The sequence below is a fragment of the Homo sapiens genome, chromosome 11 (genome assembly GCF_000001405.40).
Source record: "Homo sapiens chromosome 11, GRCh38.p14 Primary Assembly".
Taxonomy (NCBI): Eukaryota; Metazoa; Chordata; class Mammalia; order Primates; family Hominidae; genus Homo; species Homo sapiens.
In genome coordinates this window covers 68,634,897-68,661,662 of record NC_000011.10, presented here as the reverse complement: position 1 = coordinate 68,661,662, position 26,766 = coordinate 68,634,897, and the positions used below count along the sequence as shown (strand labels likewise).

At 51.2% G+C, this 26,766-nt stretch overlaps 1 annotated feature.

The window, feature by feature from the left end:
- Positions 8,863 to 9,535: an enhancer, noted in NCBI's record as "H3K4me1 hESC enhancer chr11:68419596-68420268 (GRCh37/hg19 assembly coordinates)". NCBI's record gives its function as "activates a minimal SCP1, AML or CMV promoter by ChIP-STARR-seq in naive H9 embryonic stem cells {active_cell/tissue: H9 hESC(naive)}" and the evidence as "EXISTENCE:reporter gene assay evidence [ECO:0000049][PMID:30033119]".

Sequence of the window (26,766 nt, the reverse complement as noted above, 5' to 3'; positions counted from 1 at the left end):
CAATGGCCACAGAGCCCTCTCACCCATCCACCCAGCAAAAGCTGCAGCCACCACTCTTGTCAAACAGGGACCCACAGCATCCCCAGCCCCAGGGTGGAAGGAGAATTCGGGCTGATTTGTGTCCAGCTCTGAACAGTCAGGGACATGAAGGGTGCTCCATGGACACCAGTCTCTGCCACAGCCCTCTTCATTTCATGCTCCCTTGGCACCTTGTCCCCATCTGGGACAGTCCAAGGCATAGCCATGACCCCGGCCCCAGTCTCAGCAATACAGCTGGTCACACTCAGCTAAAGTGATTCCGCTCCCCACCAAACCCCCGCCTGCCTGGAGCAAATCTGGAGCGAGAGCGTGGCCGGAGGTGTTTGACCCAGAGAGAAGAAGCTTCAAGGACGGGCATCCCAGCACCGCCCTGGCAAGGTCAGGGCCCCCATCCGAGTCTGTGCACCCCTTTAGGCTGGGACACTGTGACTTTGAAAGCACGTCCACTGGCCTGGCTCTCATCCTGTAACACAGGGATTCTCAGTCGGGGGGTTCTGTCCCTGGGGCACGTGGCCATGTCTGGAGACATCGCTGGTTGTCACACCTGGGGCAGGTGCTACCTGCATCGAGTGGGTGGAGACCAGGGAGGCTGCTGAACGTCCTACACTACACAGGGCAGCCCCTCCAGCCAAAAATCAGCCCTAAATGTCAATGGTGCTGCAGTTGGGAAACTGCTGTGAGTCCTACGGTGTGTGCGGGACCCTGACTAGTAGATGGGGAAACGGCGCCGGGAGAGGCAGGTGACAGAACAAACCACACTGCACCGGAATCCATTCCTTAAAGCACCGTCCACCTCTGCACTTTCTCTCTAAAAAATGACTTTCCGTGGCTTCCTACTGCCCAAAGAACAAAATAAAGTCAGAGCCTTTATCTTGGCCTTCACGGTCTCCCCAAATCCCACGGGGTGCTCTCTCTGGCCCTGCCTTCCTCTGCTCACCCTGCAGTTTTGCTTATGCCGTTCCCTCTCTGCGATGCCCTTCCAGGTGCTGGCCTTTGGCCTGGAGGTCCCAGGGCCTCCATTTCCCCAGCGGGCGGCTGCTATCCCAAACTCCCTCAGCTGGGGGGATTTAAACCACAGATGTCTATTTCTCACACCTCTGGAGGCTGGAAGTCAGAATCGGGGAGCGGGCCGGGTGAGGCTCATTCTGAGGCCTCTTCTCTTGGCTTGTGGGTGCCGCCATCTGGCTGTGTGCTCACATGACCTCTGGGCAAGCTCAAGGGGTCGCAGAGAGAGGGAGAGACCACTCTCTGGAGTCTCTCCTCATAAGGACATGAGTCCCATTAGACCAGGCCCTGCCCTCCTGACCCATCTAACCCTCCTGATCACCTCCCAGAAGGCCCCATCTCTCATCACACTGGAGGTCGGGGCTGTGACGTGAGTTTTGGCAAGCAGGCGTGGTGGCTCACACCTGTCATCGCAGCACTTTGGGAGGCCAAGGTGGGTGTGTATTGTTTGAGTCTAGGAGTTCAAGATCAGTCTAGGCGACATGGCAAGACCTCATCTCTACTAAAAATAAAGATAAATTAGCCGGGCATGGTGGTGCACCTGTGGTCCCAGCCACTCGGGAGGCTGACGTGGGAGGATCACTTGAGCCTGGGAGGTCACGGCTGCAGTGAGCTGTGATTACACCACTGCACTCCAACCTGGGCAACAGAGCAAGACCCTGTCTCAAAAAAAGAAAAAAAAGAAGTTGGAGGACACACATTCAGTCTGTAACACCGACTACGAGCTTCCCCGGCCCCTGTGCTTCTGCCTCCACCTCCAAGGCCCCTCCTGGGCACACAGATGCCTGGCACTGTGTGTCGGTAATCCCACCCCAGGGAACTCAAAAAGGGCAGTGCCCACCTGTCAGGGCACTCAGAGCCTCTCTCCCACTGAGCCCTGGTCCTCTGAAGTCCTCCTGGAGCCACCACCTGGGGCCTGAGGGCCGACGCAGGTCAGAGCTTGCCGTCCCTGCCCAAGTCACAGTGGGCCAAGCACCAGCCCCTACCCTCCAAAAAGAGAGGTGAGGGGGCTCGGCCCAGGGACCCCTCCCCCAGCCCCGTCCATCTGCCCGGAGAGGACGATACCGCTCAGTACTTGCTTTTCATCAGAGAAGGAACCCTGGCAGCGAGCACATAATGGCCTAATTTAGGCTGAAATTATCGGTAATTTGGGCCATTTGAAACTCAAGGGCTGATGACTGTTTTCCCTGAACACAGGGTAAAGATGAACCCCAGGGAGCAGGGTTTCTGCGGTTAGATCTTGTTGTTGTTATTTGATGTGTGTGTAGCTGAGCCATGAGCCCCTGCCTTTGGCTATGAGCCCAGACTCTTGCATTGTGTCCGGAACCTCCCAGGCAGTGCCGGCAAACGTGATGTCCTGTGGGCCAAGTTCCAGCGCAGGGCAAGATACAGATGATGCTGAGGAGGGGCCTCGCCGCCCACTGCCTGCGGGCCATTCTCTCCCCATAGCATTTGCACTTTTATTTCTTTACTTGCCTTTCTGTTGATAGCTTTAATATTTGAAAATGTTAAAGGCAAATAGAGTTTTATATTTGAATTCGCCTTGGCGTCACCTAACAAGATTTGGGTCTCACTTGAAGCGATGAAAATCACATTTGGAGAATATTTGTCAGAATTCAGAACGTGAGCGGAGAACATTCTAGCGAATGACCCTTCTGTGTGGAGGCCAGCTCACAGGAGACTGCGCAAGAGCTCGCCTCGGATGTGTGATGTTATTCATACACAGAAGGGACTGGGTGCCGAGAGGTCTCGGGGCTGCCTAGGGCCAGCAGACGTGTGATCGTCAGGCAGCCGCCTCCCCATCCCAGGCCTGGATCTAGCTAAGGGGAAAGTCTTCGATTCCCCAATGAGCTCTGAAGAGTGGACAGTCCTGGAAGCAAAGACCACATGAGTGTAAACCAAAGGTCAGCAAATGTTTTCCAGAAAGGGCCAGGCAGTGAATTTTTTTTCTTTTTTTCTTTTTTTTTTTTTTTTTTTGCGGAGTCTCACTCTGTCACCCAGGCTGGAGTACACTGGCATGATCTCAGCTCACTGCAACTTCTGCCTCCTGGGTTCTCTTGCCTCAGCCTCCTGAGTAGCTGGGACTACAGTCAAGCACCACCACTCCCGGCTAATTTTTGTATTTTTAGTGGAGACAGGGTTTCACCATGTTGGTCAGGCTGGTTTCAAACTCCTGACCTCAGGTGATCCACCCGCCTCGGCCTCCCAAAGTGCTAGGATTATCAGACGTGAGCCACCGTGCCCGGCTGACAGTGAATATTTTAGGCTGAGCTGGCCACAGAGCCTCTGTCAAAACTACTCAACTCTACATGAAAGTAGCCACAGACAACACAGAAATGAACAAGTGTGGCCCTGTGCCAATAAAACTTTATTTATGAAAACAAGCAGCGGGCCAGTTCAGCCCACAGGCCGTAGCTTTCTGAGCTCTACTCTGGATCCATGCGTGGCTGTGAAGGGTTCTTCCCCTCTGTCCTGCATCCCTGTCTGCTCCTCTGGGCCTCTCTTCTCTGTCTTCCTCCAGTTCTGCCTCAGTTGTTACTTATGCCACTTTCCCGGCAAGTCGGCTGCCTTCCCTCCCACCATGCCTCTTTCTCTCCCGTCTCTTCCTCCCGCTCCTGCCTTTCCCCTGCCGCATGTCTGGACCTATCACCTCCTGAGGTTTCCTCTTCCAGCCTGTCTCTCTCCAGTTACAGAATCAAAGGTGTATCTGTAGCTATCAGAGTCACGTGTTTCTGGCCATGTTTACAGGATTTTACATGAGAACAACCTGAAAACTACCTGATCCTTCTCTCCTGGCTTGATCCTGGCACATATCTGGGTGCTTCCTGCCGAGTGGAGGTGAACCCAGACACTCGGTCAGGGCTGGAGTAGGAAGAACTGTGGTGTCGGCCTTTACTGGCTGACCTGCTGGCCAGTGGGAGCTACTGATGGTCTCAGAGGTGTGGCTCAGCCTGCCTGGCTGAACCCACTGCGCGTCAGGGATGTGCCTGGACTCTGCAACCCACATCTCACCATGAGGTGGCCGCTGCAGCTCGGGGCTTGTTCACCCCACTGCCGGCTCTGGGAGAGGAGGTGCTTGTGCCCTTGTCCTGAGGTCCAACTGTGTGGAGGGAGGGTCTCTGGGGCCCATCCTAGGGAGGGTCCCAGTGGCACATAATCCTGGGCACCTCCAGCCTCTGGCCCATCCTCCAGCAGGCAGACCACATGGAGAGGGTCCCCTCTCTGACAACCAGCCGTGAGCAGGGCCCCTGACAGCTGCCCCCAGCCTCCCACTGGGGGGTTTCAGAGCCACATTCCCTGCCCCTGACTTAGCAGGATGGGGCCTGGCCCCTTGAGGTCCTCCCAGGAGATTCTCATGATGAGCTCTGCCAGGGAAGCCCTGTTCCAGGGGTCCTGGAGGAAGGGAAAGGGTCCTACAGCCAGCGCAGGTCACAGTGCTAAGAGACGGACCCAGAGGGCCAGAACGGAGGCCCCCTGGGGAAGGCTGGGTGAACTAAGCAGAGCTCTAAAGGCTGGCAATTTCCCTGGAGGCTGAGAGACCTCAATTTTTAGAGCCCCTCTCTTGCACACACCCCTTCTGGGAGGGTCCCAGCAGCATCCACACAGTCATTTAAAATTTGCGGAAGTTGGCCGGGCATGGTGGCTCACACCTGTAATCCCAGCACTTTGGGAGGCCAAGGCAGGCAGAACATGAGGTCAGGAGATTGAGACTATCCTGGCCAACATGGTGAAACCCCATCTCTATCAAAAATACAAAAATTAGCTGGGCGTGGTGGCGTGCACCTGTAGTCCCAGCTATTCAGGAGGCTGAGGCAGAAGAATCACTTTAACCCGGGAGGCAGAGGTTGCAGTGAGCAGAGATCGTGCCACTGCACTCCAGCCTGGCAACAGAGCGAGACTCCATCTCAAAAAACAAAAATTGCAGAAGTCAGACGCTTTGTTCAGTCGGTGAGGACTGTAGGCTGGCTGCGCTCTGGAGTTCAGGTCCCCTCTGCTGCAGTGGTACTAGGGGCTGTAAACATTTGTGGGATCTGGCTGAGGGGAGGTTGAGCTGGGGACACCTTTAGTGTGGATTGGGTGGGTGGGTGAGATTTTTTTGTGGCTATTGTAACAAATGACCGCAAATTGGGTGGCTTAAAACAACAGACATTTATTTTCCCACAGTCTGGAGGCCAGAAGTTCACAACCAGGGGGCCAGGGGTGAGGGTGTGTCCTGCCTTTTCCATCTTCTGCTGGTGGCAGTGCCTGGCACTCCATGGCGGTGGTGCCTCACTCCAGCCTCCACCTGTCCCCCTGGTCTTCTCCCCTCTGCGTGTCTGTGTATCTGTGTCTCTGTGTCCTAAATCCACATTTCCCTCTTAGAAGGACACAAGTCATGGATTTAGGACCCCCCCACCTACCACCACCACCCAATCTAACCTCATCTTAGCTTGATGACTTCTGCAAAGACCCCATTCCAAAGAAGGTCACATTCCCAGGCACTGGGGTTAGGCTTTGAGAGTTTTTTCCCGCCGTAAAACAATGCCCATTTATGATCTCGTCACTGCTGCAAGTCAGAAGTCTGGGTGCAGCAGGGCTCATCAGCCCTCAGCTTGTGTCTCACGTGTCTGAAACCCGGGGACGGGCCGGGCTGCGTTCCTTCCTGGAGGCCCAGTTGGTGAATCTGCTTCCAAGTTGATTCAGGTCATTGGCTGAGTTCAGTTCCATAGAGTTGCAGGGCTTGAACTTGTCCTCTTAGAGCATATAATTCAACTCACCACAGTGGGGTATATCTATGTGGTTCAAGGTCTCTTCTGGTGCAGTTAGTTTGCCACTGGTCCTCCCCACATGGGAATGTCTCTGTCTAGGGACAAGGTGCAAATTTGCTGGCTTGATGCAGAAAGGTGAGGCCTGATGTGGTATATGACCCATCCCACAGCATCCAGCTATGGAGGTAGGGGTGCCCAGGAACCTGGGTGATGGATGGAACTGAAGCTGGCCCATGGGAACGCCCTCTAATCAGCAGACATGTGGATGGTCAGCAGAGGGGCCGCCCCTGCTGCAGCCCAGTCAGACAAAAGCACTTTCCTGCCAGGAATACGCTCGCTCACGCAGATCATGGCCACAAACCCACTTTTGCACATTCTTTCCTTTTGTGATGGGAACTGAATAAAGCAAAACTCGTCACAATTCCTGTTTGCAGAACAAGGAACTGCAGCTCCCACTACAAACGAGCCCATCTGTGGACACTGACACACAAAAGAAACTCAGGAGAGGCTTTCCCGAATGATACCAATCCTAAGAATGTACACAACGTCACCAGCATTGGGTTGTGAAGCTTCAGGAACTTTCTCTACACCATCAATAATGAAAAGTAAATTCGTATCCATCGTGGAGGAGGAGAGGCCATATCATCTTTCTGTTCTCTCTGCAGAAAATCATAAAACAAAGTCCTTGTCCTATGAGAGATGAACAATGAGTACACACATTCGAAAATACCGGGGCACAGGTATTGTAGAGCGAGTCAGGTGACTAAGAAGAACTGTGATTTTTCCACATTTTGTAATGTTGATGACACTAATCAGCTTTTTAAAATCTGTAGTTTTCTGTGACTTCATTTCTCAGTCTAAGCGATACTCACTTCTATGCCTGTGTTTGTCTTAGTTATTTTATATTCTTTGTCTTTTTTCTTTTTTGTTTTTGACAGAGTCTTGCTCCATAGCCCAGGCTGGAGTGCAGCGGTGTGATCTCGGCTCACTGCAACCTCCGCCTCCCAGGTTCAAACAATTCTCCTGCCTCGACCTCCCAAGTAACTGGGATTATAAGAGTGCACCACCACGCCCGGCTAATTTTTGTATTTTTAGTAGAGGTGGGGGTTTTACCATGTTGGTCAGGCTGGCCTTGAACCCCTGACCTCAAGTGATCTGCCCGCCTGGGCCTCCGAAAGTGCTGGCATTACAGGCATAAGCCACTGTGCGCAGCCTATATTCTTATTCTTAAAGAGGCCCCCCAGATTATATAAGCTCAGACCCGGCAAACCTGGGTTTGGCCTGCCTGAAAGATGAGCTGGGCTTTCACAGAGGGTGTAGTGGGAAGTGGGGAGGGAAGTTGAGGGGCTGTGGGGGCTGGGGCCAGCGTGTGAGGAGGCTGAATGCGCCTGTGGTACTAGGGAGCCATGAAGGGTTTCTGGGGAGAGGCGTGACTTCTAGGACCCACGTCTTAGGCTTTTAGGGCTGATGCGTAGAGAGGCGCACCCCACCACCCATCCTCGGCCACCCCACCAGAGACCATGAGGCTGGGCGGCAGCATCTGCCCAGGCTGTCCAGGTGCCATTGGGGGACCCTCTTCTCTGCCATCACTGGCACCCACAGAAGCCTGCAGTGCCATTCCAGGACCTGAGCCAGGTGGCTTTGGACTCAGTGGCTGCAAGAGCCGGATATGGTTAGAGGCCTGGCCAGGGCATCTCCTGAGATGGCCCCTGGGCGCGGGGCTGGGCGTGACCAGGAGGGATTGGAGGTGCATCTTCAGTGGATGGTCTCTGCTTTTGTCCTTGTGGGGATCCCTCGCTCACACTCCTCCACAGCTGTGCCCTTGGTCCAGTGAGGGCAGCATGGAAACGGCACTTCACAGAGGGGGTCTGGAACAGAACTAGCATTGCCACATCTGCCAGTTTCAGGCTGCCCCAGAAGGGCGGAGACCCCTCCTCCTGGCCCCTTTCCAGGCTCACGCATCCAGTGTGTCCCAGGCCACCTGCGTGGGTGATGTCCCCAGTTCCAGCCACTCCCAGCCGCCCAGGGCCCTGCTCCTGCCTCCAGAGGCAGGCTGCACCCTGAGGTTTGGGAAGCCAGTGGGAGGCAGCACAGAGGTGCGCCCGAAGTCATCGCTCCACATGTGGCCCCACAAACGTGAGAACGTCGAAGGGCTTTGCTTTGCTACACTCACTCCTCCTTTACCCCACAAACTTTCATTGGTTGTGCCCTTGGGGATAGGCCTGAGCCAAGCACCTGATGACGGAGTTCCCAGGTGATCCCATCCTGGCCTGCAGAGCTGGGTAGGGAGAAGCTCTCTTCCCTGTTTGGGACACTGGTGTGATGCCTTTAGCTGTGCAGCCATCTTAAGACCATGCGGTCACACACACGAGGATGAGAGGCAATGTTCTGAAGATGACGGCTCCCCAGCACTGAGGACCCTGGCCCCTGCCTGCCCCCCTGGGAAGCAGAGCGAGTCACATCTGCCTTTATCACCTGCAGCAAAGCATCGGGACTGGTCCACAGGGATGCCTCTGAGACTCTAGGCTGGGGCATTAGAACGAGCTTTGTGCTCAGGGAGGATGAATGATGTCCACGCTGGGCTGTGGGGATGGAGGAGAGGAGTCTTTGGTAAAGGGGCTCACAGGCTAGTGGGGAGCAGAGGGACTGAGTACTCACAGCCAAGTGACAAGGTGACAAGTGTTTTGATGGGGTTAGGGCTCAGTGGGCTCAGCCCGCCCAGGCATTTAGCGAGGCCGAGGTATAGGGAGGGCCTCGGAAACCCTTCCCTGTGTGAGGAGTTTGATGCACAGGGTGCTGCCCCTGGACACGGGATGCTCAGGTGGCCTGCTCCAAACCGTGAGCCACCACCCAAGGACCCTGGCAGGCCTCCACCCCGTGTGGTGGCTGCAGGTCCTGCCAAGGCCCAAGGACACCCAAGGCCAGCTTTAATGGGGCCCAAAAGACCCAGCTGCGGGGCCCAGGGCTGAGGGAGGGTAGCTCTGCCCAGCGGAGCCTCTGGGGCCAGCCCGCCCTCTTCTCCTTTCCAGGAGGCCCAGCACGGCAGAGGCTGGGCTGCTTTCTGCGCCTCTGCTTTCATTTCCTTTTTCTTTCTCTCCACCTGTAGCCCCAGATGTAGATCCATTAGGCCAAGGTGCCTCTGCTTCCACACCACTGACACTGGGGGCCACATGGTTCTCTGCTGTGAGGGGCTGTCCCATGCCTGGGAGGACATGAACGGCCCCCCAGCTTCCACTCACTGATGTCAGCAACAGCCTCCCCATTCCCCACTGTGTGGCAACCAAAAACATCTCCTAAAATTGCACGTGCCCTGGGGCAGAATACTGAGCTGGACTGTCATGAGGGCTGTCTTTCAGGAGGCTGGGGACAAGTGACACGGATCTAAGAGCAAGCCTTCATGGTCCCTTAGCCGCCAAGGCCAGGGTGTCCCAGGGGGCACTGGTGAGCAGGACGTCTGCGGCCCCTTCCTACCCCCTTCCTGGTGGGGCCCGACTCCCATACCCTCCCAGTGACGGACAAGCCTTGAGCCACCTCCCACCTCCTCTGGGGAGATGAAGGGGGCCTGGGGACCATCTCCCTGGAGGGGCTCAAACTGCCCCCACATTGTGGGAGACAACTTAGGTCAGGTCAGAGGGCACAGCCAGGTCAGGACAGACGCCCCTGCTGACCTGGGCTCCTGCCGTTTCCTGGAACACTCTCCTAAGGAGCCCGGCTGGTGGGGCACTGTCCACGGAGCTCCTGTCTGATGTGAGGGTCCTCCCGGCCCTGGCACAGCCCCCTAGGCAGCAGGGTGCCCACCTGAAGAAACACTCGACTGCCACCAGAATCCCACCCTTGGGCACACCGTGTTGCCCTCGTTTTCAGAGCCAACTCCCCCACAGGTTGCTTCCTGGTGCAAGGATGCGGCGAGAACACAGCACGTTGTTCTGGGACTCTGTGTCCCCGGGTAGGAACAGTGGCAGGAGACTACAAAATTCCTGTCTAGCATGTTGACACTTGCTCGATAAAAACTGAATTGTGTCTGGGCCTTAAAATGTCACCTTGCAGGACAAACGCGAGGGAGGAGTTCGTCTGCCCACAGAAGGCACTCACGGCAGCGGAGATGGGCCCTCTCTCCTCCCTCCCTCCCTCCCTCCCTCTGCGGTCCCTGCCTGCTAAACTGGGGACGCTGGGGGCTTCATGTCCTCCCGGCTTCCTGTCTGGCTAAACTCTAATGTGAGTCATTTTGCCTCACAGCATCAGGCCAGGGCTTGGCTGGCCCAGTGGGAGCCCTGGTCCAGGAGAGGTGGCCGTTCAACTGGGGCCCCACCAGGACAGGCAGGTCCTTCAAGAAGCCAGGGGCCCCTTTTGTGGGTAGGGAATTTACCTCTCAGAGGCCCTTCTCATGGAGAGGCAGCTCCTACCTCTACTTCCCCCGCTGGCCAGCCCCAGCTGCTGCTGGGAGCCAGAAGCCACTGCCATCAGAATCCCTGGGGAGGGGCTTAGCAACCAGCCCACAGCGGACGGGCCAGGGGGCCAGTGCCGGCCTGGGGACACCATGGGAGATGGCATGGCCAGGAGCTGCTCTCAGGGGCCCTGGAACAGGCCAGGGGGCAAGACGGGAGGGAGCCGGCCCAAGACTGCACTGGGTGAGGATGGGCGCTGGCTGTGACCTGGGTCCGGAGAGCCTAGTGGCCACCTAAAAGTACTGTTTAGATGAACATTTTTTGTTTCTGTAACTCAGGTCACCATTCCCACCAGAATGGAAAAATACACTGTGCTCACTTGGTGGATGGAACACTGCAGAGCAACGAAGACAGCAGCGCTCCGGCCACCTGCCACCCACCACCCCACGAGGATTGCACAGGCTCAGAGCACGGGAGCCCGGGAGCCACCAAGCCTTGCCCTCGGCCGGGCTGCCTTCGGGAGGGGGACAGGGAAGGAGCAGGGTGGGGACTTCGGGACGCTTGATGTTCTGGGAGCCGCTCTGCAGGGGCACACATGCCAAGAAATTCATCGAGTGGGTCCCTATGAACTACAGCTCCATTTATTTTTTTGTTTGTTTGTTTTTTTAGACGGAGTCTTGCTCTGTCGCCCAGGCTGGAGTGCAGTGGTGCAATCTCGGCTCACTGCAACCTTCACCTCCTGGGTTCAAGCAATTCTCCCTGCCTCAGTCTCCCAAGTAGCTGGGATTACAGGCACCGGCCACCACACACAACTAATTTTTTTTGTATTTTTAGTAGAGATGTTTCATCATGTTGGTCAGGCTGGTCTCGAACTCCTGACCTCAGGTGATCCAGCTGCCTCGGCCTCCCAAAGTGCTGGGATTACAGGTGTGAGCCACCGCGCCCACCGCCAGTTGAATTTTAGTTGTGGCGCCAACGCTCTTTTAAGCCTGTAGTCTGGCTGATGATGAAGCTCGCGTGCTTTCATTTTGCCTTTTGTGTCCGGCTCCTCTAGAGCGTCAGCTCCATGGAGGCAGGGACCATGATGTCCCCAGGGCCACGATGTCCCCAGGGCCTGGTGTGCAGCAGGAGCCAGCGGAACGACCACCCCTGCTTCTGGGCCACTCGCAAGAAGAGAGGTGCCGGCAGGAAAGGGAGAATCCGGATGGCGGGAGTCTGCCACGGATGGCTGATGCGGCGCCAGGGAGCAGGGCCGCCATCCAGGGCCCTAAAGTGGCCCATGACAGGCCCAGGTCGGGGAGCGGAAGAGGGTTCCAGGGCGCCCGAAGGACCTGGACTGAAACCCAGCATCCAGCAGAGCAGGCGGGAAAGGGGAGCTACCGTGGCGGGTGCTGATCCCTGCAGGCTCCGAGGACACAGGAAGCTCAGCTCTCCATCAGAGACGCCAAACAGGGCGGCGGTGGCTGGGATTTGGGGAGGGGTCCTCGGAGCACTCCAGGGCCCAGGCAGGAAGCAGCGGCCAGGACACAGCCGTGGGCAAGAGGCTTGGAGGGTCCGGTGGGAGTGAAACTGTCCTCGCTGGGACACAGCAAGAAGGTTGAAGGTATGGTGGGGTGGGGCTGTCCTCGCCGGCCCTTTCCCGGCCCCGGGGTGAGTTGAATAAAAGCTCAGATTTGAAGGCTTTTCTGCATTGCCTCCCTTAATGGGCTTAATGTCTCGGCTGAGCTCTAATGCCAGTCATTTTACCTCCCACGCATAGATTTCAGAAAAGAAAGCTTACAATGACCCTAGTCCGCTTTAGCAGAGAAAATAAAATAGTAGAAAAATAATAGTAAAAATGACTGTGTAACGTTCGTCACTTTTATTTTTGTATCTGTAAATGCAAGGATGCTTACAGTTTTTTTTGCTTACAGTTTTTTTCTCCCCTATCTGCCTGAATTTTTAACAATGCAAGAGATTAGGATTAATTTCCAAATAGCGCAACCTTTTTGGAAATGCACATTCTCCACAAATGAACAAACTGCTTGTGGTAATTAAAGTAATGTCGTGTGCTCAAATTGCTTGTGCTAATGAGGCTAATTGACAGCAGCGAGTATTAACCGCAATTAGTCATACATATCTAATAGCATCGCTGGTGCCTATGATTTTCTACGTGGAGGGGATTTTACATCTGCTTTCAGGATTTCCATCCTTGGCTATATGCATTTCTCTCAAAAGGATGCGCTTTTTCCTGGCATTCAGTAGTCGGGTGCTCTTTTCAAAGGTGAGAACAGAGTTGCTGGGGTAGAACATTTTAGGTGGGCTGATTTTTAAAGGATGTGGCAGCTTATCAACAGGGATAAATGCTGATGTCATGGAAGAACTGGGGTCAGAACTCAGAGGGGGGGCTCCACTGGAGAAATACCACGATAGAAAAAGAAAGACCCTAAAATCCAAAATGCTTTTTAAAAGGAAGCAAAAGCTGAGCACGGTGGGTCACACCTGTAATCCCAGCACTTTGGGAGGCCGAGGGGGGTGGATCACTTGAGGTCAGGAGTTCAAGACCAGCCGGGCCAACACGGTGAAACCCCATCTCTACTGAAAACACAAAATTAGCCAGGCGTGGTGGTGTGCACCTGTAACCCAGCTACTCAGGAGGCTGAGGCAGGAGAATCACTTGAACCTGGGAGGCAGAGGTTGTAGTGAGCCGAGATCGCACCACTGTACTCCAGCCTGGGCGACAGTGTGAGACTGTCTCAAAAATAAATAAATAAATTAATTAAAGCAAAACAATCAAATATATACCTTTTTATGGCACTAGAAATTCTATGAAAATAAAATATTTTAAATCCCCATCAAGGAAGCCACTCATCTGGGTGCTTTCTCTGTGTATCTTCTCTCCATCCAGGAGCAGAGGAAGCCCTTGGGGGCAGGGGCAGGGTCTGGCTGAATTATGTGAAACAAAACCTGGGTGCTTAATTTCATTCCTGAGAAAGGACGTTGGCAAAAGTTCATGGGACTGATGGGGCTGAGAAGTCAGATCCCCTGAAATAAAGCTTTTCATAGTGATCCCTCAGCCCCAGGGACCCAGAAGCAGAGGTGTGGGTTCTCAGAGAGAAAACTTCAGTTTCCCTCTTGGTTTAAAAAGAACATGTCAGGAGGGCCGGGCGTGTTGGCTCATACCTATAATCTCAGCAATTTGGGAGGCCAAGGTGCATGGATCACTTGAGGTCAGGAGTTAGGGACCAGCCTGGCCAACATGGTGAAACCCCATCTCTACTAAAAATACAAAAATTAGCCGGGCATGGTGGTGTGTGCCTGTAATCCCAGCTACTTGGAAGGCTGAGGCATGAGAATTGCTTGAATTCAGGAGGCAGGGGCTGAAGTGAGCCAAGATGGGGCCACGGCACTCCAACCTAGGTGACAAAGCAAGACTTTGTCTCCAGAAAAAAAAAAACAAAGAATATGTCAGGAGGCAAGCAGAAAGGAGGGTCACGAGTGGGGCACATAGCAGAGATTCTTTGGAGGAATCTAATTTCAGGGCAATTGGCCCCAACTTATCTCCAAAGCAGAGTTGGAACGGACTCTTTCTCACTACCACTGGTACCTGCCCAAATCTCCTAGACCAGCCTAGTACACCCTAGCCCCCAGCTGCTGTGAACATTGGCTGTTAACCTCTCACTGCTTTCCCCTCAATACAGAAGTGCCCTCAGCTGACGGAAATCACAGCCAATGATGACCTGATGCAGGCAATTAAAGGCCAGCCCTTTGCCTCAGCACGCTCCTAACCCCACAGTCATGGCCATGGCGCCACAGTCTTCCAAGCTCAAGGTGGGAGAATACAGAGGACAAGGCTGGCAGAGGAGCTGGAAATGTAGGGAAGAAATCCTGAAACAAGAGAGCTGTAGAAGGGGTGAGACCCAAATCTGAGTCTAAACTCTGCCCCAATCCTTGGATGGCCATCAAACTACAAACACGTATCAGAGACTTGAGGAAGCTTGGTGAAAAATGAGGGAGATATGAGAGAGGAGTCTACCCTGAAAGATATAAGAGGACTAGGTGATATTCGTGAGTTTTCTGCTCCTTTGAGTGCATGTATTCCCCAAATCATGCACAGCATGCATGGCAGAAAGTTGAATCCTTATTGGTTTGAGGTGTCAGAAGACAAAGTGTAGGGCTGGCTGAGCAGCTGGAAAATTAAGGGTGAACCCCCAAAGCAAGGGAACTACAGAGAGGGTGAGCTGCCAAATCTGAACATAAACTCTGCTCAAATCCTTGGCTAAATATTGAGCATACGGGTGCAAAGGGTTGGCTACAAAGACTACAGCTGGAAGTTGAAAAGCTGAGCAGAGACATCAGCCACTACACACTGTGGAGGAGGCAGACTCTACAGTTTCAGATCAAGCAAGTTAACTGCCTACTGGAACAAAACCCAACAATCTTCAGAAGAACATAACAGAATCCAAAGTTGCTACAAAATACTACCTACAATGTCCAGTTACCAACAAAAAATAACTAGACATACAAAGAAACAAGAATGTATGATCCATATTTAGGAAAAAGACAGTGAATAGAAGTGGATTCTGAATGGACCCAAAGGTTAGATTTCATAGACAAAGACTTCAAAGCTGCTATTTTAAATATGATCAGATAATTAAAGTAAAATATAGTCTTAATGAATAAACAGAGGGGAACCTCAACAAAGAAATGGAAGCTACAAAAAAGAATCAAATGGAAATTCTTCAAGCTGAAAATTAAAACAACAGAAATAAAAATTTCACTGGATAGGCTCAATAGCTTATTGGAGACAGTAGGAGAAAAAATCCATGACCTTGAAGATAGGTCAATAAAATGTATTTAATGCAAAGAACATAGAGAAAAAAGACTTCATTTTTTACCAAGAAAAAGAAATATATCCTGAGAGACCCACAAGACTGTATCAAGCAGTCCAACATGCATGTAATTGGAATCCCAGAAGGAGAGGAGAGAAGAAAAGAAAGGAAAAATACATATATTTGATGAAATAATGGCTTAAAATTTCCCAGATTTGATTAAAAACATTAACTTGAAGATTCGGGAAGCTCAGTGAACCTCAAGTCAGATAAAGCAAACAGACAAAAACCTCGACACATCGTAGACAAGCTACTAAAACCCAACGACAAACAGAGAAGCTTGAAAACTGCAAGAGAATAAAAACAATACATTATATACAGGGGAACAACAATATGTGCCTGGAGGAAAATGAAACAACATATGCAAAGTGCCGGAAGAAAATGAAAGCTGTCATCATGATTATTTCCAGTGAAACTGTTCTACAAAAATGAAAGCCAAAGAAAGACCTTTTCAGGTAAACAAAAGCTGGGAGAATTCTTTTCCAGCTGATTTTCACTGCAAGAGATGCTAAAGAAAGTATGCCGATACTTGATGTTTCAGTAACTACACTTTGTTTTTTTGTTTGTTTGTTTTGAGACAGAGTCTTGCTCTGTGGCCCAGGCTGAAGTGCAGCGGTCTAATCTTGGCTCACTGCAACCTTCACCTCCTGGGTTCAAGCGATTCTCCTGCTTCAGCCTCATGAGTAGCTGGGACTACAGGCTAATACCACCCCACCTGGCTAATGCTTGTATTTTTAGTAGCGATGGAGTTTTGCCATGTTGGCCAGGCTGGTCTTGAACTCCTGACCTCAAGTGATCCACCCGCCTCAGCTTCACAAAGTGCTGAGATTACAGGCATGAGCCACCATGCCCAGCTGTAACTACACTTTTTTTTTTTTTTTTTTGAGACAGAATCTCGCTCTGTCACCCAGGCTGGGGTGCAATGGCGCAATCTCAGCTCACTGCAACCTCTGCCTCCCAGGTTCAAGCAATTCTGCTGCCTCAGCCTCCCCGAGTAGCTGGGATTACAGGCACCTGCCACTACACCTGGCTAATTTTTGTATTTTTAGTAGAGATGGTGTTTCACCATATTGGCCAGGTTGGTCTCGAACTCCTAACCTCATGATCTGCCCACCCTGGCCTTCCAAAGTGCTGGGATTACAGGTGTGAGCCACTGCGCCTGGCCCACATTTTTAAGTAGTTACCACATTTCATGATTTCACATGGTTGGGCGGCTTCTGGGCTTTGTTTTGGGTCCCCTCCAGCCCTGCCGTCCTCCCCTAGGAACCCAGACGAACCACCTGCCGTGTGTTCTGTGCTCACCCCAGGCTCACACCATCATAGAATCTTCCGGAGGATGTGCCCTGTGCTCACTTGTTCTTTCTTTAATGAGACCACGTTTTACACACTTTCTGGAAAATGGCATTTTGTCTCTGATATCCAGTGACAACTGGGCAAGGGTTGAGACTATCCTTTATCCTACTTTGTATTCAAACCCCAGCTTCAAGCTGAGGAGTCATGCCTTTCCCTAATTCTGCAAAATTCAGGGCTAATATTTTTTCAAATACTGCTTCTCCATGGTCTTCTGGATCTCTCCTCAGACTGCGTAGCAGCCCTTCCCTCCTCTCAGAACTTTTTTCTCTTTATGCAGGGTTCTGGCTGAATTTCTCAGCACTGGCTTCCAATTCATCAGCTCTCCACCTATGTCTAGTCTAGAGTTTAGCCTGTCTATTGAGGCGCGTTTTTTATTTCAGTGACCATTTTTTATTTTCAAGATTTCTAATTGGTTCTTTTTAAGCTTTTTGTTTTCCTTCCTTCTTTCCTTCCTTCTTTCCTTCCTTCCTTCTTTCCTTCCTTCTTTCCTTCCTTCCTTCTTTCCTTCCTTCCTTCCTTTCCTTCCTTTCTTTCCTTCCTTCTTTCCTTACTTCCTTCCTTCTTTCCTTCCTTCCTTCTTTCCTTCCTTCCTTCCTTCTTTCCTTCCTTCCTTCCTTCTTTCCTTCCTTCCTTCTTTCCTTCCTTCCTTCTTTCCTTCCTTCTTTCCTTCCTTCCTTCTTTCCTTCCTTCCTTCCTTCTTTCCTTCCTTCCTGTTTGGGGAACCGTATCTTCAGTTCTAGGTTTCTTCATTTCTCTCCTTGAGCCTTCCAAGCACATTTATTTTAGTCTTTATCAGACTATTCTACAAAATTAATTTCATCTGCAGTGGATTCTAATTATTGACTGGATAACTTTGTGAACATTAGAATTCTGGGCGTGTTTTGGAACATCGGTTTGCAAGCTCTTCCGAGCTGGTATGACTTTTCTTTCTCTTCCCTGTTCTCATTGTTTCAGGATTGCTGCCCCCCTACCGCCTCACCCCTCCAGCTCCTGGTTCTTTGTCCCAGCCATCTCCTGTGGTACTGTGCTGTGTCTGCCTTGTGGAGACCCTGAGGATGTTCTGGATGGAGTTACCAAGCCCCCGACAGGCTGGTCCAGTTCCTGGCCTCCACAACGTGTGTGTCCTTTTGCCTCGGGAGACCAGCTGCTCCCTAAAGGCTGCAGCCCCCAGCAGAGTTTGGCCTGTTTTTCTGCCTGTTTCACAAGAGAGTGAGCCCCCCTGGCTCCAGCTGCCCACCTGCACGAAGCTCTGTTAATGGCTGGGACCTCCGTAGCACCTGGGCCCCCAGCCTGGTGCTGGGCCTGGGCTTCAGCTTCTCTCCAACTCCCATCTACTCCACATCTGGTCCTGGGAGATGTTTACTTTCCTTCTGAGCCCAGCAATGTCTTCTTAGTTTTCTCTTTGTCGAGGCCATGGATCATTCCTCCGGGCCATGTCGAATGTGCTGTGTTTATCTTGTCTGTGGAGACGAAGGGCCGAAGTGTGAATGCACAGCGCCACCTTAACCAGACGTTCAAATCATTCTTTTTAAAAGCTGCATAAAACTCCGCGGCATCCAGTGCTCCCCAGGCGGTGGGTGTTTTTGTTTCATGGTTTGATGGGTTTTTTTTGCCCGATGAATAACGCTGCTGTGCATCAGGGTGCATACAGCCTTAAATACCTGTATGCAGCTTTCAAAGCTGTTCTATAATGTCTCACTTTATTCTTTCCACATTTGCAGCTTTTTATCTTTGTATCTTATCTTTTTTCTGAGTTTCTTTTGGTATATTTTGTTGTTCTTTTTCCAGTTTCTTAAAATGAAGAGCTGTTACTCAAAAAAAAAAAAAAATTCTAGAACAAGGCAGGCATTGAGGTGAGCCACGTCTTCTGGCCCCCACTCTGCCGTGTGCTGTCTACTTTGTGAAGAAGTGTGCTTCTTCTTAATGCTTCCGAGAGAGTTGGTAGCTTTCATTTCATGGCAAAGATTATCAAGGAGTGTTTCTACATTTCCAAGAGGATTTCGGTCACTTTGAAAAAGAGAAGATCAATTTTACTGTGGTATGATTTTATTTATTTATCATTTACTTATTTTTAGGGTCAGGGTCTCGCTCTGTTGCCCAGGCTGGAGTGCAGTGGCATGATCACGACTCACTGCAGCCTCCGACTCCTGGGCACAAGCAATCCTCCCACCTCAGCCTCCCAAGTAGCTGGGACTACAGGCATGAGCCACCATGCCTGGCTGTGGTATGATTTACATCTGAGAAAACTAACCCATAGGTTGTAGGCAGGATAATGGCCCTCACCCAGATGTCTACATCCTAATTTCCCACTCCTTTTACATCTGTAAGATTTTGCTTTGTGTTCTAAGACCAGGTTTATTAGGTGTACACACATTTAGAACTGTTACATGGTCCAGGTGGACTGGCCCTCTTAATGCTGATGAAATGTCTGTATTTTACTCTGGTAACTCTTCTTCCCTCGCAGCCTCCTTTGGTGTCAGTAGTTAATAGTGCCACATCAGCTCTGCTCATTTAGCATCTTCGTGGCGTATGATTTCAGTCCCCTTCAGCCCTTCTGTGACTTTCTATGTGCGTGTCTCTTATAAGTAGCATACGATCGAATATAATATTTTACTCAATGTTACAATATTTGTTTTTAATTGGAGCATTTTGTCTATATATATATATTTTGAGATGGAGTCTCACTCTCACCCAGGCTGGAGTGCAGTGGTGCAATATGGGCTCACTGCAACCTCTGCCTCCTGGGTTCAAGCAATTCTCCTGTCTTAGCCTCCTGAGTATCTGGGATTACAGGTGCCCCTGCCACCACGCCTGGCTAATTTTGTATTTTTAGTAGAGACGGGGTTTTGCCATGTTGGCCAGGCTGGTCTTGAACTCCTGACCTCAGGTGATCTGCCCGCCTCAGCCTCCCAAAATGCTGGGATGACAGGTGTGAGCCACCATGCCCGGCCTCCATTTATATCTAATGAAGTGAATTCAGTTACACAGATGTGGGTCTGGACCCGCCGCCCACTGTCTCTGTGTTCTTTGCCCTCCTTCCCCTCATTTTTTGCCCTCTTTGATGTGCCGTGGAAATTCGCGGACGGCGTTGGCAGTGCGAAGCTTCGTTGGGGAGAAGGGTCGGGCAGGGATGCTGCAATCCACAACTCAGATCCGAGAAAGGCTCCCCGCCCAGCCAGGAGTGCAGGGTGAAGGCTGGCCAGCAGAACAGCCCCGTGCTGGCCTGAGATGGCTGGGCTTAGCACTTGGGGGGAGCGCCCCATAAGAGAGTGACCTTGGTCCTGCTGCCTTGCTCAGTCCCTGGCTGTGCTGAGCTGGGAAGGCAAACCCTGGGGGAGCTGGCAGCTGGGGGCTGCCCCTGACCACATGCCTCGCAGCTGCTGGGCAGAGCATCCTCTGTCTAAGGAGGTCTGATTCTACCCTGTGTCTGCCATTATCCGCCCTTGCACTGGCCGGATCCCCTTTTCCACACATGTGGGAAACCACCCTTCCAGGGCCCCTCTCTCTGTGTATTTAGAAGAGGGAAATTAATGGAAAAAATGACAGCCCCATAGCCAACTGCGTTCATCTGGGAACACAGTGGTCCCTCTTGTCCCCGCCTCTACTTTCTGTTCTAAATTGCCCTGGCGCTCAGCTGTCTCCTGTTGGCATCAGGTGCATCTGGTGGCTGGACCCAAGCCCTATGTTCCTGAAGACTGTGAGCCCCTGTGAGTCCCTGCTAACCATGCCCTTTTGGGGTCAGAGTTGCTATTCAGATCCATTTCCGGTCATAATCGGAAGAGGGGGTGCCAAGAAGCACCTGCCCACGTCGGGTGTCTGAGTCCCACATGTATTCCTCTCTGCCGCCTGCTCTCAGGTGACAGCAGCCCCCATGTCCCCCTGCTGCTCAGGGCCAGCCACCCCCACTAAGAGGGTGGCTCCTCTTACGGCTTGCTGGCTGGGCCAAAAGGAGCCTGCAGTACCCTGGTGGAAGCTACAGCTTGTAGTTCTGTCCTCTGGCAAGCAAACACCTCCTTTGGAACCAGAACCGCTAACCTTGCAGAGCCAAGACTGGGGAGATGGAAAACACAAACAGGGGTGACCAGGAGTGATGCTGAGTGGGCCGCCCTGCTCCCACCCCTCAGCTCCCAGACCTATGTGTGCTTTCTGCTGAGAACACAGTGCCATATGAAGGCCTCTGACTCAATGTCCCCATGCCATCCGGGATGACGGGGCCTGTAGTTACAGGGCATTGCTTCAGCTCTCCGTGTGGGAGGCCACTCCAACACCCAGCCAGTCCAGCAGCTTCCGAACAATGAGACGCAATGAGTAGATCCTAGGGACACAGACCCTTTCCCACATCTCCTTCACTGCAAAGTGGCTTCCCTGATCAGAAGTGATGTTGTGAGCCCTTCTACGCCGATGAACAGGACATTCCTTAAGCGCTTGGACAGTGATGCCAACTGAGGCCCTGGAGCCAGGAAAGACAAACTCCTACCTAGAAGAGATGTCTATTTTTGTGCAAACCACTGGCCTTTCCAGAATGAAAGAGGCCCAGTGGGTCCACTTGCTGTCAAGTGGCTGGTTGGTCTCCTGTGAACCTGGGCCACACTGGCAGTGGGATGCTGGTCTCCTGTTGCTGGCAGGTTGGACATTCAGATAAGAGAAGGAGCCAGATGGTTTTGGGAGGTTGCAGTCCACACTGTTGGCCTCATGCCTGCCCTCTGTCTCAGCTGTGGCCGCTCCGTCCATGTGCCTGTCTTTGTTGGGTTGGTGTAGCCACTAAGGCTGGCTCCCATCAGTGGGTTGAGTGATCTTGTCTGCCTGGTGGTTCAGTGCCTCTTCCATGGAAGATGCTTGGGCTGCAACAAAATGCAGCAGGACAACCCCCCAAAATAAAACACCTACAGCCCCAACCCAACAACTGATAGGCGATGTCTGGGAAGACTGTGACCCGTAGTACTCAGCCTATGAGGAAACGGGGGAGAGACCTGTGCACTAGGGGATAAATTGCTTGTTGAAACCGTGCTGGGTGTGCCTACTCATCAGACACCCGAGCTTACAAGACCATCATTAAGAGTCCCACTTCCGCTGTTCTCCGGGTCTCTTGAGTCCATCCTTTGGGTTTGGACAGGCGAGTTTGTTTCTCACACCTAGTCCCAGTCTTTGCTGTCTCATCCTCACAAGCAGCCCACCCCGAATTCTCTCTCTCAGGGTGTACTGTCTATTCGGCATCTAACTTTCAGAATATTCTTTTTCTTTTGCAATAAATTACTCTGTTACCTCTCCTCTGCTGTGTGTCTCTTGTTTAAATTATTTTAAACTAAGAAGATGAGAACCAAGGTCTCACAACAGCAACAATAGGAGACTCAAGATGCAGCAATTGAGACGGAGTCTTGCTCTGTCACCCAGGCTGGAGTGAAATGTCGGCTCACTGCAACCTCCATCTCCCAGGTTCAAGCGATTTTCCCGCCTCAGCCTCCTGAGAATCTGGGATTACAGGCACACACCACCATGCCCAGCTTTTTTTTTTTTTTTTTTTTTTTTTGTATTTTTAGTAGAGATGGGTTTTTTCCATGTTGGCCAGGCTGGTCTTGAACTCCTGGCCTCAGGTGATCCATCCACCTTGGCCTCCCAAAGTGGTGGGATTATAGGCATGAGCCACCATGCCTGGCCTAGCAATTGCCTTTTTATTCTATTTGTTAGAGACAGGGTCTTGCTCTGTTGCCCAGGCTGGAGTGCAGTTGTGTGATCACAGCTCAGTGCAGCCTGGAACCCCAGGGCTCAAGTGATCCAGCTTCAGCCCCGGGAGTAGCTGGGATGACAGGTGTGCATCACCACTTTCATGTGCGTCCATGTGAAGAGACCACCAAACAGGCTTTGTGTGAGCAATAAAGCTTTTAATCACCTGGGTGCAGGCGGGCTGAGTCCAAAAAGAGTCAGTGAAGGGAGATGGGGTGGGGCCGTTTTATAGGATTTGGGTAGGTAAAGGAAAATTACAGTCAAAGGGGGGTTGTTCTCTGGCGGGCAGGAGTGGGGGTCACAAGGTACTCAGTGGGGGAGGTTTTCAGCCAGGATGAGCCAGGAGAAGGAATTTCACAAGATAATGTCATCAGTTAAGGCAGGAACAGGCCATTTTCACTTCTTTTGTGGTGGAATGTCATCAGTTAAGGCGGGGCAGGGCATATTCACTTCTTTTGTGATTCTTCAGTTACTTCAGGCCACCTGAGCGTATGCGTGCAAGTCACAGGGGATGCCATGGCTTGGCTTGGGCTCAGAGGCCTGACATTCCTGCCTTCTTATATTAATAAGAAAAATAAAACAAAATAGTGTTGAAGTGTTGGGGCAGCAAAAATTTTTGGGGGGTGGAATGGAGAGAGAGAATGGGCGATGTTTCTCAGGGCTGCTTTGAGCGGGATTAGGGGCCGTGTGGGAACCTAGAGTGGGAGAGATGAAGCTGAAGGAAGATTTTGTGGTAAGGGGTGATATTGTGGGGTTGTTAGAAGGAACATTTGTCATTTAGAATTATTGGTGATGGCCTGGATACAGTTTTGTATGAATTGAGAAACTAAATGGAATAAGAGAAGGAGAAAAACAGGTATTAAAGGTCTAAGAATTGGGAGGACCTAGGACATCTGATTAGAGTGCCTAAGGAGATTCAGCATAGTCCTGTCAGCAAAGATTATTTATTTACTTCCAGAGTTAAGAGTGGCAGTTTGGGGATAGCACCAGGAGATATCAGCTGTGATGGCTTGGAGAAACAGTGTAAACCAGCAGTGTAAACAAGAGCAGGGCATGTATGAATAGTTGAGAACGGTGAATAGGAGTATGACTAGACAGAAGATAGTAGGGATGACAAGTTTTTTGGGGGCACAGTCTAAGTTGGTCTGGTGTCTGGAATGAGACTGGGGCCTAATAAAAAGGAGCGTCTATACAGGAGCTCAAATGGGCTGTACCTTGTAGCATTCTGAGGACAGGTCTGACTTCTGAGAAGGGAAAGTGGTAAAAGTATTGTCCAGTCCTTTTTAAGTTGGTGGCTGAGCTTGGTGAGTTGTGTTTTTAAAAGACCTTCAGTCTGTTCTACTTTTCCTGAAGACGGAGGACCGTAAGGGATATAAAGGTTTCACTGAATACTAAGAGCCTGAAAAACTGCTTGGCTGATTTGACTAATAAAGGCTGGTCTGTTATCAGACTGTATAGAGGTGGGAAGGCTAAACTGAGGAATTATGTCTGACAGAAGGGAAGAAATGACTGCGGTGGCCTTCTCAGACCCTGTAGGAAAGGCCTGTACCTATCCAGTGAAAGTGTCTACCTAGACCAAGAGGTATTTTAGTTATCTGACTCGGGGCATGTTGAGTAAAGCTAATTTGCCAGTCCTGGGTGGGGGCAAATCCTCGAATTTGATGTGTAGGGAAGGGCCTGAATAATCCCTGAGGAGTAGTAGAATAGCAGATGGAACACTGAGAAGTTATTTCCTTGAGGATAGATTTCCATGATGGAAAGAAAATGAGAGGTTATAAGAGGCGGGCTAGTGGCTTGTACTATAGCATAGCCTGCCTTTGCTGGTGTGTGGCGATTAGGCCTGATGGAACTGCCATCAATAAATCAAGTGTGATCGGGGTGAGGAACAGGAAAGAAGGACATATGGGGAAATGGGGTGAATGTCAGGTGGATCAGAGAGATACAGTCATGGGGGTCAGGTGCGGTATCAGGAATAATGTGGGAGGCCAGATTGAAGTCTGGGCCAGCAACAGTGGTAATTGTGGGACTTAACAAAGAGTGAGTACAGCTGAAGGAGCCGGGGAGCAGAAAGTATATGCGTCAGGTATGAGGAAGAAAATAGATTTTGGAAGTTATGAGAAATGTAGAGAGTAAGTTGAGCATAGTTTGTGATTTTGAGGGCCTCTAAAAGTATTAGGGCATCAGCAGCCGCTGCACGGAGATATGATGTCTTGGCTAAAACAATAAGGTCAAGTTGTTTGGACAGAAAGGCTACAGGGTGCGGTCCTGGCTCTTGTGTAAGAATTCTGACCACACTAACCATGCCTAGGAAGGAAAGGAGTTGTTTTGTAAGGGATTGAGGTTTGGGAGATTAATCGGACATGATCAGCAGGGAGAGCACGTGTGTTTTTATGAGAATTATGCTGAGATAGGTAACAGATGAGAAAGAAATTTGGGCTTGACTGAAGTAATGGGGGCTGTCTGTGAAGCCTTGTGGCAGTACAGCCCAGGTAATTTGCTGAGCCTGATGGGTGTCAGGGTCAGTCTAAGTGAAAGCGAAGAGAGGCTGGGATGATGGGTGCAAAGGAATAGTAAAGAAAGCATGTTTGAGATCCAGAACAAAATAATGGATTGTGGAGGGAGGAATTGAGGATAGGAGAGTATATGAGTTTGGCACCACGGGGTGGATAGGCAAAACAATTTGGTTGATAAGGCATAGATCCTGAACTAACTTGTAAGGCTTGTCTGGTTTTAGGACAGGTAAAACAGGGGAATTATAAGGAGAGTTTATAGCTTTAAAAGGCCATACCGTAGCAGGCGAGTGATAACAGGCTTTAATCCTTTCAAAGCGTGCTGTGGGATGGGATATTGGCGTTGAGCCGGGTAAGGGTGATTAGGTTTTAATGAGATGGTAAGCGGTGCATGATCGGTCTCCAAGGAGGGAGTAGAGGTATCTTACACTTGTGGGTTAAGGTGGGGGGATACAAGAGGAGGACGCAAAGGAGGCTTTGGATTGGGAAGAAGGGTGGCAATGAGGTGTGGCTGTAGCCCAGGAATAGTCAGGGAAGCAGATAATTTAGTTAAAGTGTCTCAGCCTAATAAGGGAACTGGGCAGGTGGGGATAAGTAAAAGGAGTGCTTAAAAGAGTACTGTCTAATTTGGCACCAGAGTTGGGGAGTTTTAAGAGGTTTAGAAGCCTGGCCGTGAATACCCACAACAGTTATGGAGGCAAGGGAAACAAGCCCTTGAAAAGAAGGTGATGTGGAGTGGATAGCCTCCGTATTGATTAAGAAGGGGATGGACTTACTTTCCACTGTGAGAGTTATGGGAAGCTTGGCGTCCCTGATGGTCTAGGGGGCTTCTGAGGCAATCGGGCAGCGTCAGTCTTCAGCCGCTAAGCCAAGAAGATCTGGGAAGCAGTCAGCCTTGGGCCAGACTTCCAGGAGCTCTGGGAGTGGCTGCCAGGTGAGTTGAACAGTCCGATTTCCAGTGGGGTCCCGCACAGATGGGATGCAGCTTAGGAGGAATTCTGGGCTGTAGGCATTCCTTGGCCTGGTGGCCAGATTTCTGGCACTTGTAGCAAGCTCCTGGGGGAGGAGGTTCTGGAGGAACGCCTGGCCACTGCGGTTTAGGCGTTCGGAAGTTCTTGTGTGCTGGAGATGTGGCTGGGGTTTGTCTCACAGTGGAGGCAAGGAATTGCAACCTTTTTCTATTATTGTACACCTTGAAGGCAAGGTTAATTAAATCCTGTTGTGGGGTTTGAGGGCCGGAATTTAATTTTTGGAGTTTTATTTAATGTTGGGAGCAGATTGGGTAATAAAATATATTTTGAGAATAAGACAGCCTTTTGACCTTTTAGGGTCTAGGGCTGTAAAGCGTCTCAGGATTGCTGCCAAAGGAGCCATGAACTGGGCTGGATTTTTATATTTGATGAAAAAGAGGCTAAACGCTATCTGATTTGGGATAAAGAAAAAGGAGCATTAACCTTGACTATGCCTTTAGCTCCAGCCACCTTTTTAAGAGTAAATTGCTGGGCAGGTGGGGGAGGGCTAGTCACGGAATGAAACTGTAAGCTGGACCAGGTGTGAGGAGGGGAGGTGATAAAAGGATTATAGGGTGGAGGAGCGGAGGCTGAGGAAGAATTGGGACCTAGCTCGGCCTGGCGAGGGAGCAGCCTGGGGAGGAGGGGAGAGGTCAGATGGGTCTGTAGAAAAGGAAGATTAGAAAGGCTCAGCGACACTTGGGATTGGGACTGAGGGGACAGGTGGGAGGGAAAGGAGGAAGATTTGGGATGAGTTGCACTGGGAACAGAGACTAGAGAGGGACCGATGTGTGAAAGAATGCCTGGACATCAGGAACCTCAGACCATTTGCCCATTTTACGATAAGAATTATTTAGATCTTGTAGGATGAAAAAATTGAAAGTGTCATTTTCCAGCTATTTGGAACTACTGTCAAGTTTGTATTGGGGTCAAGTGGCATTGCAGAAGAAAATAAGATGCTTAGATTTTAGGTCAGGTGAGAGCTGAAGAGGTTTTCAGTTTTTGAGGACACAGGCTAAGGGAGAAGAAGGAGGAATGGAGGGTGTAAAGTTGCCCATAGTGAAGGAAGCAAGCCCAGAGAAAAGAGAGTAGAGACATGGAGGGAAGGGGTTCGGGAGTTCTTA